General features: G+C 35.0%; 1 annotated feature.

Moving 5' to 3' along the window:
* Positions 12,936 to 13,435: an enhancer, noted in NCBI's record as "H3K4me1 hESC enhancer chr21:24366449-24366948 (GRCh37/hg19 assembly coordinates)". NCBI's record gives its function as "activates a minimal SCP1, AML or CMV promoter by ChIP-STARR-seq in primed H9 embryonic stem cells {active_cell/tissue: H9 hESC(primed)}" and the evidence as "EXISTENCE:reporter gene assay evidence [ECO:0000049][PMID:30033119]".

Here is a 17,587-nt window from a genome sequence, read left to right as displayed (position 1 = left end):
GCCTCGAGCTTGCAGAAGCTGGGAGGGAACTTCTCAGCCTCCATTATTATGTGAGCCAATTCCCCTAATAAATTCTTTCTGATCTATATCTATCTGTATATATTCTACCACTTCTGTCTCTCTAGAGAATTGTGACAAATATAGCTGTCTCGTAAATTAGAAAGATTTTTTTAAGTATAGCTACAAGTAATCCATTCAGGAGAAAAAACATAGCACAGGATATTTTTATTAAATCAATTTGATATGAGAGAGAGATTTATTAACTGGTATAAGAGAGCATCAACACAATTAAAGCATGCCTAATTCTAATCGTAATTATGAATGGAAAGCTAGCTTTTTACTTCCACTTATACAGGAAGGACTATTCCAAATGTGGGAGAGTTATATAGACTAACAAATTGTTCATGCATTTGTTTGCAAATTCTATTGTTTTCTTTTTGATAGAAACTCAGTGTTAAAAAATATATGCAATTATTCACCATAAACCTGCTAAATCTGTGCAGCTGATGAATCAAGGGTGCTGTAAAATTCATTTAATTTACAAAAAGTAAATACACAGAGATTAGTAAAATTGTCAATTTGATACAAATTCACATAAAATTTCCTAAACTTGAGAATACATTAAAATAGCTCAAGGCTTTAATATAAATGTCAACAAATAGCTATGCAGGACCAGGGAGTGATAAGGTGATTTTATATTCTTAGTTATGTTTTGAATATTTGTTTTGTTTTTAAATTTTTGTACTGTATGACACTATTTCTATATGCAAATTGTCCATTCTAACCACTAGTGACAATAGAATACATGTATCATTAAATTCACCTGGCTTTGTCTATCTTTAAAAACAATCATACTGGATAGCTTTTCTCATGGGGCAAACAGTACAGGCAGTCATTAGTGTTAACACAATCCTTTTCACCTCAAGAAAAGTCTGTACATTTAGAACTTTCTCTTCAGGGTCAGTTCTCATAAAATTGTACGCATGAACAGATTTTTAAAACTCTCATATTCCTTGAGTTTATAAAAAAATTGCCTGAATTTTACTTATACTCATGTTGCACAGAAATCTTCTGGTATTACGAAATTAATAACAAAGAGAAGAAGATTTCATAGCTAAAGTAATTAGGAAAGTTAAAGCAATGAATCATATAAAATAATATAAACTTAACATTTGGTTGTATTAATTTTATTTTAATCTAAAATTTACATATATAGTATTTTGGATATTAATGCTTGATATCCATACTTGGACATAAAATATTGTATGTTGAACGCTAAAAGCAAAGTTGTTATTATTATTAATTTTTTATTTTACTTTAACTTCCAGGATACATGTGCAGAACATGTAGGTTTGTTACATAGGTATACACGTGCCATGGTGGTTTGCTGCACCTATCACCCTATCATCTAGGTTTTAAGCCCTGCACACATTGGCTATTTGTCTTAATGCTCTCCCTCCCCTCAACCCCCACCACCCTACTGGCCTCGGTGTGTGTTGTTCCCCTCCCTGTGTCCATGTGTTCTTATTGTTCAACTCCCACTCGTGAGTGAGAACATGCAGCGTTTTGTTTTCTGTTTCTGTGTTAGTTTGCTGCGGATGATGGCTTCCAGCTTCATCCGTGTCCCTGCAAAGGACATGATTTCATTCCTTTATATGGCTGCATAGTATTCCATGGTGTATATGTACCACATTTTCTTTATCCAGTATATCGTTGATGGACTTTTCGGTTGGTTCCATGTCTTTGCTATTGTAAACAGTGCGGCAATAAACATACATTTTCATGTTTCTTTATAGTAGAATGATTTACATTCCTTTGGGTATTTACCCAGTAATGGGATTGCTGTGTCAAATGGTATTTCTGGTTCTAGATTCTTGAGGAATTGCCACACTGTCTTCCACAATGGTTGAACTAATTTACATTCCTACCAACAGTATAAAAGTGTTCCTATTTCTCCACAGCCTTGCCAAGATCGCCATTCTGACTGGCGTGAGATGGTATCACATTTTGGTTTTGATTTGCATTTCTCTAGTGATCAGTGATGTCAAGCTTTTTAAAATATGTTTATTGGCTGCATAAATGTCTTCTTTTGAGAAGTATCTGTTCCTATCTTTTGCCTACTTTTTGATGGGGCTGTTTGTTTTTTTTTCTTTTGGATTTGTTTAAGTTCCTTGTAGATCCTGGATATTATACCTTTGTCAGATGGGTAGATTGCAGAACTTTTCTCCCATTCTGTAGGTTGCCTGTTCACGCTGATAATAGTTTCCTTTGCTGTGCAGAAGCTCTTTAGTTTAATTAGATCCTGTTTGTTAATTTTCGCTTTTGTTGCAGTTGCTTTTGGTGTTTTTGTCATGAAGTCTTTGCCCATGCCTATGTCCTGAACGGTATTGCCTAGGTTTTCTTCAAAGGTTTCTATGGTTTTGGGCTTTAAAATCTTTAATCCATCTTGAGTTAATTTTTCTATAAGATATAAGGAAGGGGTCCAGCTGCTACTTTTAAAAGAAAAACGTAATATCAGTATCTTCTCTAATTCAGAGATATTTAATTGTCTAAATAAAACTCCTTTTTAAAATATAGACTCAATTTATTGGAGTTCAAACTCATATTGTTTCCAAAATCCTCACTAGTCTTGCATTTTCTATATATTCAAAAGTTTCAGTTTCTTTAAAATAGCCTGAAAACATCAATGTGACAATAATCCGAAGGCAGGATTCTTTCAAACATTTACAATTTATTTTCAATCTTTATGCTTTCATTGCCTATGCCTTTTATAAAAATGTATTTTTAAAATACCTGAATTTCGTAGTCATTCTATGGTATTCAATTTCGTTTCCACAGCGAAAACGACATTCACATTTATATTTCACTTGATGATGTGACATGTGGCTAAGTTATGTAATCAAAGTATCGATTGAAAATGTCACAGTCAAGTTTGGAGACCAATGCTAAATAATCTTAGTAAGACTAACATGCAAATGCCAGTAGAAGTACCCCAGCTTAAGGAATGGGTGCATGGGGTGCTGGGCACTGGAAAAGGGAACCAAGCACTTGGCTGCACCAGTACTAGGCTACCTGATGACCCTAACAGGATTGTCTGTGGCAATTATGTCAATCTTAAAAATATATATGCCATCTGCATGGGCTAATTCCATATTCTGCTCTTCACTTTGAATACTGCTGTTGCAAATATTATCATCCCGCTATTAAATAAATTGCTGTTTCGTGGAGATTAGTAATGAGACCACGTCATGGCTCCATTAAACAAACAAACAAAAACAGAATAGAAATGAAACTTCGACTATCTAGTCTCTACTATCTAACTTCTACTCTAGGCCCATTCTGAACAAACATGATCAAGTATAGCAGGAATTATGTACCTATTGAGACAAGATCAGGAAATCTCGAAAGAATGAGCAAATATTGACTAAGTGTAAAAACCTACCGAGAGAACTGTGACAAATGAAAAGTGTTTGATGGGATTGGATATCCATAACAATTCTAATGAGACTTTCAGATCTAGGCTCATGGTGAGTACATTTTAAGGAGGAGAACTATTAGAGAAAAAACAGTTGTTTGTATCACATTATTTTTTCTTAATTAAGGTGGACACAGCTTTATAAGATAATGGGGAAGATATATATTTTTAAGGATATATTACTTAATGTTATGTCTTTGGAAGATTATCTCTAAATTCTACAGTGATGTTTTAGCAATTATTAATTTTTTTAATCCTGTTGACTTTAAAATATCTACCATTATTTAATTTTCAGCTCAGTGATATTAGAGACAGTTAATTCCACCCAACATTTAATAATTTTCCTCTTGCTGAAATATATGCTACTTTTGCCTGCCACTTTCCTTTTATCTGAGCTATGCTGGGAGAGGCATCTTATTAAGCAGTGGGACAGAGTAGATTGTGTGTAGAGTCTGGAACCAAACAGCCAGGCTATGAATCCTGAGTCTGCCACCTGGCAATGTTGTAACTTTTGGCCAAGTAGTTAAATTCTCTGTACTCCAGTTTTCTCAACTGTAAAGTGAGATAACAATGCTAACTTTGAAAGTAACTTAGCCCTTTCTCATTAAAAAATTTAATAATGAGGCCCATCAAAAAGTGGGCAAAGAATAGGAACAGATACTTCTCAGAAGAAGACATTTATGCAGCCAATAAACATATTTTAAAAAGCTCCTTAGGGAGCCAAACTCTGTATACATTCTGGAAAGTTACTAGATTCCTAAACAAACTCAGGTGCTAAATAATTATTAATGTCAAGTATCACAATTTGATTAAATGCCCTAGTATAAGGCAACCTCCTGGGATGAGTACATTGATGGCTCTGTCAGGTAAAACAGCAAAATCAATAAAAACGTAGAGAAAGAAACAGTAGGAGACAAAAGAGTATGCGATGATAGTGTAAAGAGAAGAATAATATATTGAAAAGAAAATGAGGTTATAATTTACAAAATTATACTATGACCAATAGTATAGTCAAGAAAGGTCATAAAAGTCTCCGAGCCTGAAATTATTTTTCCAATTAACTGTATAAAATGTTAAAGTTCTGGGTATAGATAACCTTTTCTCAATAATGGTAGCAAAGATTATAATAACACAGAGTCGTTGAATTTAGAACTATGGTTCAAGTTCTACCCGTCCAACTTAGTGGCAGTATGACTTTAGGAGTAAACAAAATCTTATCTAAAAACAAGCAATTAATAAATATCACTTTAAATCAATATTATTATGATTGTTCAAATAACAGAATTTAAACATACTAATTATATACTTATATGTTTAAATTATTTCAGTTTACAAGGATACACATTTAATACTTCTCCAAATTATTATCTAGCATAATCCAAAAGAGCATGCTTTAAACGGTACTCGCCCAACTCACAAAAATACAATTATTAGTGATGCTCACCTAGAGTGAAACTATTTACTCATTTGCCCACAGCTAGCAAGGCTTGATAGAATGAAATGAAAATACTGAGAACCAGAGCAAATTTTTAGAAGGCTCCAAAAAGATATGTTAACTATAAAAGTAAATATACATATTTGCAGTTTCTCAAGACCATAAACCATAGCTGATATTTCTTGGTTTTCCACATTCTACCTTGAATAGTTTGGAAAAGTCATTTATATCAGCCCGAACTTCTTAACTATAAAATGGATCTCAAAGTAAAACTATTCCTTTAGTTGTTACGAGAAACAAAAGAAAAAATAAAAACTACTTATAAGAACTGCAATATAATGCCCTTTGTACTCATTAATATTTTATTTATGAATTGGTACAAGGTATTATACAGCAACATTATCAATACACTTTACAATTTCTCCACATACCACGATGGTATGTTTCTTCACATATCACAATATTGGCCCTTTGTGGATGAAACACATTTACTCTTATAATGAAACAGTGCTTGATAATAGGCACATCCATTTACCAAACAGTCCCAAAAGATTTGTACATTTTTAGAAGGTTCCGTCTGATCAACCCAGAATTTTCACTAGACAAATCATGCTGATTCTACCATAAACACTCACATTAATTCTTCAACACTAATAGACTTTTAAAACTTTTATACATCATTAAACTTGAAAAAGATTAGTTACGAATTTTAAGCAAAATTCATCAGATGCCTCTCATCTTCATAAGAGAATTGATTAACGAAAACAATTTAAACATTATCAGCTATGGTTTATGGTCTTGAGAAACTGCAAATATGTATATTTACTTTTATAGTTAACATATCTTTTTGGAGCCTTCTAAAAATTTGCTCTGGTTCTCAGTATTTTCATTTCATTCTATCAAGCCTTGCTAGCTGTGGGCAAATGAGTAAATAGTTTCACTCTAGGTGAGCATCACTAATAATTGTATTTTTGTGAGTTGGGCGAGTACCGTTTAAAGCATGCTCTTTTGGATTATGCTAGATAATAATTTGGAGAAGTATTAAATGTGTATCCTTGTAAACTGAAATAATTTAAACATATAAGTATATAATTAGTATGTTTAAATTCTGTTATTTGAACAATCATAATAATATTGATTTAAAGTGATATTTATTAATTGCTTGTTTTTAGATAAGATTTTGTTTACTCCTAAAGTCATACTGCCACTAAGTTGGACGGGTAGAACTTGAACCATAGTTCTAAATTCAACGACTCTGTGTTATTATAATCTTTGCTACCATTATTGAGAAAAAGTTATCTATACCCAGAACTTTAACATTTTATACAGTTAATTGGAAAAATAATTTCAGGCTCGGAGACTTTTATGACCTTTCTTGACTATACTATTGGTCATAGTATAATGAAGACATATGAAGGTTTTCTTTCTAAAAAATTCTATTCAAGCATGTAATCTCAGTAACAAACATGTTTTGGATTTGAAAAATAATTTAGGGACATATGAAACAGAATGTTTTTGTGTGTATACTTGCACATTTGTGAGGGTTTAATAAGTTCTTATGGAGAGGTAAATTTCTTTCTTTTTCAAGAGACAGGATTCTGCTCTGTCACCAAGGCTGCAGTGCAGTGTTGTGGTCATAGCTTACTGTGACCTTGAACTCCTGGGCTCAAGTATTCCTCCTCCTCAGCCACCCCAGTAGCTAGGATGACTACAGATTAACCATCATGCCTGTCTAATTTAATTTAATTTAATTTTTTTATAGAGATGGTGTCTAACTGTGTTGCTCAGGCTATTCTCAAACTCCTGGCCTCAAGCAATCCTCATGTCTCAACCTCCCAAGTTGCTGAGATGACAGGCATGAGCCACTATGACTGGCCTGGAGAGGTACATTCTAACCAAATAATTAGGTATGATCTTCCTAGTGAGTGCTGGAGGCTCACTGATTTCTCTTTAAAATATGGTTTCTTTATTCTGTGAGCTGCTTCATTTATTTATTCTTCATTAACTAATTCATTTGTTGTTATTTGATTTGAGGACTAAATAATGTATTGGGTATGATGGACCAAAACATGACAAAAGAGTGAGGTACCCAGAATCATTAGATGTGGGAAGACAGGATATGAGGCCAAGAGAGGTGGGAAAACAGAAAATGAAGCTGGTGAATTGAACAGAAACAGCACCTAGACCTTGTCATCCAGGATAAAGATTTTGGTCACTATGGTTAGAGCAATGAAAATCTACTAAAATGCTACATAAAATGGGTATTATAATCAGGATTTTAAAAGTCCTCTTCCAGTTGTTAAATACAAAAGTTAAACTAGCAATTTACCAAGACTACCATATAATAAATAATAACCATTTATAATCACATGCTACTTGATACCTTTGTTTGGGACAATTTAATACATTGTCAACATTTCATTTTCTGATTTTCAAATGGAGACAATACTAAAAATATTTGCAGTTCAGGGTTATGATAACTAAACAATGCTAAATTTGTAAAGAGCTTAACAAAGTGACTGATACATAGATAACACATAAAGATTTACTAAGTAAAACAAATATTTAATTTCTTCTCATTGCTGCACTTTGTATTTATTGCATTGATTTAAAAAGAACATTAACATTGTCAAAATTTCGCTCTTCATCTATGTATTGCAGTCTTATTTAGTTTCGGTAAAATCTCATTTGGTAATCATATACTAGAAATTTTGAGCTATTATTAGTACTCAGGAACTGAGTAAGTAAACTTGCAGTAACAGCATGAAATAATCTTCTCTTACAAAATGAGAGCAACAGAAATGAAATCATACACATTTCCAACCTTTTCCCTTAAATTATTCTGTGTATCATTCCCAAGATACAAACCTGAAAAAGGAATGCCACTTTATTTTCTATACTAAAAAAATCAATTTTAGTCTACTCTAGCTTAAAAAAAAAGAAAGCCAGTTGTTTCACAATTAACAGGAATAAAATATTTTTCAAATTATGTAAGGTTGAGTTTTACTTCCCATAAGACAATTAAAAATATGATAATTTTTCTTCATGACTTTAAAAACACAGTTAGTATAATTCACTTTTTAAGCAATGTCACTTTTCTTTTCAGAATTACAGAATTCTACTTCATTAGTCAGGGTTCCTGAAAGAAACAGAAAAGGTAAAAGACTGTCTCTCTACATGACAGTCTTTATAAATTTCTAAGGGGGAGAGATATATATATAATAAAAGAGACTGATTGAGTGATCATAAGGAATTGGGTCACATGACTATGGAGGCTGCAAAGTCCCAAAGTCTATAGTCAGCAAGCTAGAAACCCAGGAGAGGCATTGAGGCATTGGTGTAAGTTCTATTTAAGGACAGGAGAACACCAATGTTCAAGCTCAAGCAGAGGGGTCAAAATGTTACCTTTCATTCAGACTTTGTGTTCCTTTCAGGTTTTTAATGACTGCATGAGGCCTATCCGCACTACTCAGTCAATGGGATTCAAATATTAATCTCATTCAGAGGCACCCTAACAGACACAACAAAAATAATGCTCCACCAAATGTCTGGGTACTCCTTATCCCAGTCAAATTGACACATTGAATTAATCATCATGTCCAATAAGACCAAAAAATTTATTTTGAGCAATAGTACCAAAGACATAATTAATTTATAAATTAATACTGAAAATGCATCTGGTGTTTGTTATTCTTTTTTTGCAGCCCTTCATGCATTTGTAAAATTTTTTATATTGTAATTGGTGTTCGAGGAACAGGCAGTGTTTAGTTACATGAACTAGTTCTTTAGTGGTGATTTCTGAGATTTTGGTGCACCCATCACCCAAGTAGTGTAGACTTTAGCCAATGTGTGGTATTTTATTTCTCACCTGCCTCCCACCCTTTCCCCGAAGTCCCCAAAGTCCATTGTATCATTCTTAGGCCTTTGTATCTTCATAGCTTAGCTCCCACTTATGACTGAGAACAATGTTTTTTTCATTCCCAAGTTACTTCACTTAGAATAATGTCTCCAACTGTATCCAAGTTGCTGCAAATGCCATTATTTCATTATTTTTTACGGCTGACCAGTATTCCATGGTGTGTATATATACATGGTGTGTGTATGTATATATAAATATATATTACCATATTCTCTTTATCCACTTCTTGACTGATGGGCTTTTGTGCTTGTTCCATATTTTTGCAATTGCAAATTGTGCTGCTATAAACATGCGTGTACAAGTATCTTTTTTGTATAATGACTTCTTTTCCTCTAGGTAGATATCCAGTAGTGGGACTGCTGGATTAAATGGTAGATCTACTTTTAGTTCTTTAAGGAATCTTCACACTGTTTTCTGTAGTGATTGTACTAGTTTCCCTTCCCATCAACAGTGTAAAACTGTTCCCTTGTCACCGCATCCATGCCAACATGTATTATTTTTTTATTATGGCCATTCTTTCAATAGTAAGATTGTAATTCATTGTGATTTTGATTTGCATTTCCACAATCATTAGTGACATTGAGCATGTTTTAATATGTTTGTTGTCCATTTGTATATTTTCTTTGGAGAATTGTCTATTCATGTCCTTAACCCACTTTTTGGTGGAATGATTTGTTTTTACTTGTTGATTTGTTTGAGTTCATTGTAGATTCTGGATATTAGTCCTTTGTTGCATGTATAGTGCATGTATAGATTGCAAGTCCATCTATAGATTGCAAAGATTTTCTCCCACTCTATGAGTTGTCTGTTTACTGTGCTGATTATTTCTTTTGTTGTGTAGAAGCTTTTTAGTTTAATTAAGTCCCGTCTATTTATTTTTGTTTCTGTTGCATTTGCTTTTGGGTTCTTGTTCATGAAGACTTTGCCTAAACCAATGTGTAGAAGGGTTTTTCTAATGTTATCTTCTAGAATTTTTATGCTTTCAGGTCTTAGATTTAAGTCTTTGATCCATCTTGAATTGATTTTTGTGTAAAGTGAGAGATGAAGATCCAGTATTATTATTCTACCTGTGGCTTGCCAACTATCCCAGCACAATTTGTTGAATAGGGTGTCCTTTCCCCTACTTTATATTTTTGTTTGTTTTGTCAAGGATCAGTTGACCATGAGTATTTGGCATTATTTTTGGGCTCTCTATTCTGTTCCCTTAGTCGATATCCCTATTTTTATACCAGTATCATGCTGTTTTGGTGACTATGGCTGTATAGTAATGTTTGAAGTAAATTAATGTAATGCCTCCAGATTTCTTCTTTTTGCTTAGCCTTGCTTTGGCTATGTGAGCTCTTTTTTGTTCCATATGAATTTTAGGATTTTTTTTTCTAATTCTGTGAACAATGATGGTAGTATTTTGATGGGAATTGCATTGAGTTTGTAGATTGCTTTCAGCAGTATGGTCATTTTCATATTCTTGATTCTACCCATCCATGAGCATGGGATATGTTTCCATTTGTTTGTGTAGTCTATGATATCTTTCAGCAGTGTTTTGTAGTTTTCCTTGTAGAGATGTTTCACTTTCTTGGTTAAGTGTATTCCTAAGTATTTTATTTTATTTATTTTATTTATTTTGCAGCTATTGTGAAAGGGATTGAGTTCTTAATTAGATTCTCAGTTTGGTCACTGTTGGTATATAGCAGGGCTACTGATTTGTGTACATTAATTTTGCACATTAATTAATTTTGACACTTTGCTTAATTCATTTACCAGTTCTAGGAGCTTTCTGGAGGAGTCTTCAGGGTTTTCTGGTTATACAATCATGTCATCAGCAAATAGCGACAGTTGGATTTCCTCTTAGCTGATTTGGAGGCCTTTTATTTCCTTCTCTTGTCTGACTTCTCTGGCTAGGACTTCCAGTACTATGTTGAACAGAGATGGTGAAAGTGGGCATCCTTCTTTTTTCCAGTTCTCAGGGGGAATACTTTCAACTTTCCCCCATTCAGTATAATGTGAGCTGTGGTTTTGTCATAGATGGCATTTATTACCTTAAGGTATGTCCCTTCTGTGCCAATTTTGCTGAAGGTTTTAACCATAAACGGATGCTGGATTTTGAGAAATGCATTTTCAAATGAAATAATCATGTGAGGTATTTTTTTAAAATTCTCATTGAGTGGTGTTTCATAATTATTGACTTGCAGATGTCAAACTATCCCTGAATCAAGTAGGTTTGAAACCTAATTGATCATGGTGGATTATCTTTTTGATATGCTGTTAGATTTGGATAGCTAGCATTTTATTGAGGATTTTTGCATCCCTGTTCATCAGGAATATTGTTCTATACTTTTCTTTATTTGTGAAGTCCTTTCCTGGTTTTGGTGTTAAACTGGTACTGTCTTCATAGGATGATTTAGGGAGGATTCCTTCTTTCTATATCTTTTGGAATAGTGTCAATAGCATTGGCACCAAGTGTTTTTTGAATATCTGATAGAATTCAGCTGTGAATCATTCTGCTCCTGGGGTTTTGTTGTTGTTGTTGTTGTTGGTAACTTTAATTACAGTTTAAATCTCACTACTTGTTATTGGTCTGTTCAGAGTTTCTGTTTCTTCCTGATTCAATCTAGGAGTGTTGTATATTTCCAGGAATTTATCCATCTGCTCTAAGTTTTCTAGTTTATGCATGTTGGGGTGTTCATAGTAGCCATGAATGATCTTTTGTATTTCTGTGGTATAGGTTGTAATATCTCCCATTTTTTTTCTAATTGAGCTTATTTGGATCTTTTATCTTCTTTTCTGGGTTTATCTCACTAATGGTCTATCAATTTTATTTATCTTTTCAAATAACCAGTTTTTTGTTTCATTTATTTTTTGTATTTTTTCTTTGTTTCAATTTCCTTTAGTTCTGTTCTGATCGTTGTTATTTCTTTTCTTCTGCTGGGTTTGGGTTTGGTTTGTTCTTGTTTCTGTAGTTCCTTGAGGTGTGACCTTAGATTTTCTATTTGTGCTTTTTCAGACTATTTGATATAGGCATTTAAGGCTATGAACTTTCTTCTTAGCACCACCACTGGCGAATCCCAGAGGTTTTGATAGGTTGTGTCAATATCATCATTCAGTTCAATGAATTATTTAATTTCCATCTTGATTTCATTGTTGAGCCAATGATCATTCAGGAGCAGGATATTAATGGAAAAATCTCCAGTAGATAGCATAAATAAAAAACAAGCATAACTTCTGAAAATAAAGGACACAGAGAATTGCAAAATGCACTGGAAAGTCTCAGCAATAGAAGAGAACAAGTAGAAGAAAGAACTTCAAAGCTCAAAGACAAGGCTTTGGAATTAACCCAATCCAATGAAGACAAAGAAAAAAGAATTTTAAAAAATAGACAATGCCTCCAAGAAGTTTGGGATTATGTTAAACGACAAAACCTAAAAACAATTGGTGTTCCTGAGGAAAGAGAGAAATCCGAAAGTTCGGAAAGCATATTTGATGGTATGATTGAGGAAAATGTTCCTGGCCTGGCTAGAGACTTAAACATTCAAAACAAGAGGGTCAAAGAACATCTGGTAAATTCACCATAAAAAGATCATCACCTAGGCACATAATCGTCGGGTTATCCAAAGTCAAGCCGAAGAAAATAATCTTAAGAGCTTTGAGGCAAAAGCATCAGGTAACCTATAAAGGAAAACCTATCAGACTAACAGCAGAAGCCCTACAAGCTAGGAGGGATTGGGGCCCTAACTTTAGCCTCCTTAAACAAAATAATTATCAGCCAAGGATTTTGTATATAGCATGGTGACTCTGTGATTGGCATAATAGTCCACCTTCTGAATTCTTTTTCTGACAATTCAGAGATTTCATCTTGGTTTGGATCTATTGATGGTGAGCTAGTGGGATCTTTTAGGGGTGTTAAAGAACCTTGTTTTGTCAGATTGCCAGAATTGTTTTTCTGTTCCTTCTCATTTGGGTAGACTATGCCAGAAGGAAATTCTGGGACTCGAGAGCTGCTGTTCGATTATTTTGTCCCATGGGGTGCTCCCTTGATGTGGTGCTCTCCCATTTCCCCTATGGATGGGGCTTCCTGAGAGCCAGACTTCAGTGATCGTTATTTGTATTTTGGATCTAGCCATCCAGCAGGGGCTATCAGGCTCCAGGATGATACTGGAAAGTGTCTACAAACAGTCCTGTGATGTGATCCATCTTCAGGTCTTTCAGCCGTGGATACCAGCACCTGCTCTGGTGGAGGCAGCAGAGGAGTGAAGTGGACTCTGTGAGGGTTCTTGGTTGTATTTTTGTTGAGTGCGCTGGTTTTATGTTGGTTGGCCTCCAGCCAGGAGGTGGCGCTTTCAAGAGTGTATCAGCTGTACTTAAGTAGGGAGGGTACGAGCTTGTCCTAGGGTCACGTTTGGATAAGTATTCAGGTTTCTCATGAAGTGGGCAGGGCCATAGAGGGATTATGTCCCTTTTCTTCAGCTACCAGGGTGGGTAGAGAAAGACCATCAGGTGGGGGCAGGGTTAGGCATGTCTGAGCTCAGACTGCCCGTGGGTGGGGCTTGCTGTGGCTGCCTTGCGGGATGGGGGGTGTGGTTTTTCAGGCCAATGGAGTTATGTTCCCTGGGGGATTGCGACTGCCTCTGCTGCATCACCCGGGTTTCCAGGGAAGTGGGGGAACGCCAGCTGCCGCAGGCCTCACCAGCTCCTAAAAGAGCTTGCAGCCCAAAAGGCCAGCCTTACTCCCACACCATATCCCCCTAACAGCACCAAGTTTATTTCCAAGCAGCTGGTGAGCAGGGCTGAGAAATTGCCCCAGGCTTCAAGCCTCCCAGCTGAGAAAGCAAGCCGACTCACAGTTCCTCAGCTGTTCCATGGACCCTGCAGCGGTAATCCACCTCCTTCAAGGGTCTGTGCATTCTCTCGGCTTTCCTGGTATGTTCCTGCGGTAGTTCTTGGAGCAAAAGTTCATGAGGTGGGTCTCCACATGCTGCTCTGTCTTTCCATTTGTGAGCTGCAAGTTAGTTCTGCCTCCTCTCTGCCATTTTCCCCTCTCGTGTTTGTTATTCTATGTGGAATACGCTTTATACTTTTGTAACATCAAATCAATTACAGTTAACAACAAAATTAACACTTCGAAAAAAGGAAAACATTCTCACTAAAACAGATATTTAGTGGACAATAATTTCTGCTGCCCTTTTGCTTGGATGATGTAGGCTTTATAGGAAATCATAGGTTTGAGCTGCATAGAAGTAGCGGATTGTATGCTCCATAGATGACTACAAATAATATCTCCAACCCACATGCTATTCTTACAATGTAACTTTGAAGTTATTCTAACTAAAATATGAGTGTCTGCATTTCTTCATTTGGAGCTGGGTGGTAGACTTTTAATTTTGGCAGATATCACGTGATATGACATCTGAGGCTCGTTCATTTAAGGAAGAGTTGAGATCTTTGAAGCCATGAATATTAATGTAAGAAGTCCAAGGTTTCTATGCTCCGAGGAAGGACAGGGTATGTGAAGTACTGGTCTGGAGGACAAAGCCAATAGAAATCTTGCCTTCTGCCAGCATCTGCCAACAGATGTGTGAGTGAGCATGCCACCACTTGACACCACTTGATTCCTTTGCACAGAAATTGAAGCCTCTCCAGTGAAGCTTCTGCTCTCATGAGCAGATGAAAATTCTTTTTGCTTATCTTCTGAATTCCTGCCCCAGAGTACCTGTAAGCATAATAAAATGATTGTTTTAAACTGAACATTTGGAGTAGTTGAATATGCGTTTGTAAATAATTGGAGCTGATAATGGAACCGCTTGTAGGATCTGCCATAACCCAAACCTAAAATATACAACATTTCTTTGAGCCTTAAGGTTTCTGTTAATGACAGCCTAAAGGGAGCTAGGAATAGTCTTAATGAAGCCTGCAAGGCCTGGAGAAATCTGTCAGTGAAAGCTTAAAGGAGATTAAGGGAAATGACAGTGGGAACTAGAAGAGAGGTGACACATCATACAGTACCACTAAATTTGACAATACTCTCGCCTGAGTTAATTTGCAAAAAAGTAAACACCTCAGTGAACTCAATGATCTAGTGAAGGAAATCTCCAGGCAAAATTTTTGAAGATGCCACCTGGCCTTTTCTCTCTGCATTTAAATCAAATAAAAGAGAAGAGATAGGAGCTAAAGAATTGATGGTTAAATATTTAAGTAGTCAAGGATTGCAAAGTTTTAAATTAAAACTGCATCTTTTGCCAACCTCTCCAGATGGCAAACCATTCATTTAAGAAATAGCTTCCAGGAAAAGATTCAATCCAAGGTAGAACTGCAAGATCTTATGTCAAGACCTTAGAAAAGATCTAAGATGAGGTCTTATGTAACCTTTCAGACAGACAAAAATTCTTCCAGAGAGCATGAGGTTATTCCTCAAAGGTCTTCTCTATTAAACAAATGGTTTTCTAAGAATCTTAAGGACTGCCCTACAGCAGTACCATAGGGAGACCAAATAGATGTGAGATTATCTTGATGAGATTGTGGGTGTGACTCTTGTCTATGGAATAATTTATAAATTGACACATATTCCAAAGCTTTAAAAGTTTTGTTTAACGGAGTTCATAAACTTATACTTAAAAGGATAGTTAAAAAGAAAGATTTTTGTCCTTCAACCTTCTACAAGCAAAACAAAGAAGGCTAAAAATCTTCTCAGAGAAATATATATATACTACCCCCGATGAAAAGAAAAGGATGATTTAGATGGTGAAACAAGAAATCTAGTAGGCAGATTCAAAAGCCCCAGAGAATAACTGAGTCTTAATCTAATAAATAACCCGATGAATTTTCAAATAACTATTGACCAATGACTGTGGTGTGCCTCCTGATTTTCTCATTTTAAACTGGGAACGTCTATCGTGGTTACATAAGTCTATGCCGCCATAGTATGATGACTATGTAGTAGAGTAGAGAAATACATTTTCAGTTCACCTTTAAGCATATGTATTATTACTTCCCTGGTCCTATATATGTCTGCTTATCACTTGGGTTAATATAAGCATCCCAGTTTTTCACCTACTGCATGACAATATATTTGCAAAAAAAGACTGAAGTAATTTTTTTCAACATTCAAATCAAATGATGTCCCTCTTTGCCCAAAATTCTGCAATAGCTTCACATCTCACTCAAAAAAAAAATAGTCTTTACTCTGAACAGAAGACCAGCCACCTTCTGTACCAGGATACTGAATGGCTGATTCTAATATTTCTTTCTGTTTGGACAGTAAGCCCATACTCTTTGCAACATAGCTCTGTGTGCTCTGCCATTGTAGATTAAAAATACTTGTCTCCCATATTAATATTAGACTTGGCTACGTAATTTGCTTTGGCAATGAAATATGAGTCTTTTTGGCATAAATAGAGACACAAAATATGCTTTTTTTTGGTCTGGTTTTCCATCTACTATTATCCCTAAAAAGAACACACCTCAGCTGCAGATCTAAAGAGGGACAAATGGAGCAGCTCTTGACTCGTTTTATAGACAAATAACAAATGCATCTGGCCCTCATCCAGAAGTAGAAGAGCCCAGTCAAGTTCACACTAGATCAGCTGAACTCCAGGAGACCTGTAGACACTTGAGTGTGGAAAACACATTTTTTTTTTTCTGGTAAACCAGATATCTGTATGCCTGCTTCCTTGTTTTAATCAGAAATATTTTCACAAATGTTACCTCTACCCCTCCCACATTTTAACCATCTGGATTTTTCCTTTTAGTATTTGCACATCTCATAATTGCATATTTATTGTTAATGTCTTTTAATTGTCTGCTTCCCTCTCAAACCTACAAACGTTATGAGAAAGGGGACGTACGTTTTTGTTTTGGTTTTTGGTGTGTTCACAGCACCCCAACTATTGCATAGTTCATAATAGGACCTCAAAATGTGTTTAATAAACTAGGGAAATACGTACATACTTGACTGTGTTAATTCACTATGAGTTTTTATTCATGTTTCAGGATACATCTGAAAAAAAACTATGTAGGTTGACCTGTATTAGGTAAAAGACTATTAGAGGTGTAAATCATTTATGTTTTATTCTGATTTGATGTGATTTCTGTGTGTGGTGAAACCCACAGTATAATATAGAGAATATTTCTGCATAAGGCCAATTTATCCTGTGGTACCAGAGGGGATTTGCTACAGAAATCATCAAAGGACCTCATTAGAGTTTATCTTTACCTACATGGTGAGTTCATGCAATGAACATTAGAGACAGGATTTTAATGAGTACAGTTTACAAAATATTGCTTTCATTACATTCTATAGGAAATAATAACACTGAGTGAAAGTAATTTTAAATATTTTAAAGGATTATTGATTTAATCAAAACAGAAATACATATAATCTTCTAATGAAGATTTTACTTTATTGTCATTCTGTATAATACCATACACAGCAAAGATGTATTAGCTTCATTAAAGAAGTCTTGCATCTGAGATTCTTGTTTTTCTAACCAGCAAAATATTAAGAGGCAAAACTTTCCTTTTCGATATTTTTCTACCTTATAACATAACTTTCCAAGTATATCTCTTCTATATGATTATTGTAGGTTTGGTACCTATGAATATTGGAGGCATATAAGAAGTCAGTCCTCTAATAATGAGCATCACATGAGGTGTCTGTTGATTACCAATGAATGCAGAATACTTAAACCACTTGTTCACTTCTGGTTTAATATTAGACAATTTTATTGTTATTGTAATAATGCCTTTGTTGTAATAATGCTTTTTGATA

This window comes from Homo sapiens, chromosome 21 (genome assembly GCF_000001405.40).
Source record: "Homo sapiens chromosome 21, GRCh38.p14 Primary Assembly".
Taxonomy (NCBI): domain Eukaryota; kingdom Metazoa; phylum Chordata; class Mammalia; order Primates; family Hominidae; genus Homo; species Homo sapiens.
This window is presented reverse-complemented; position numbering and strand designations above follow the sequence as displayed.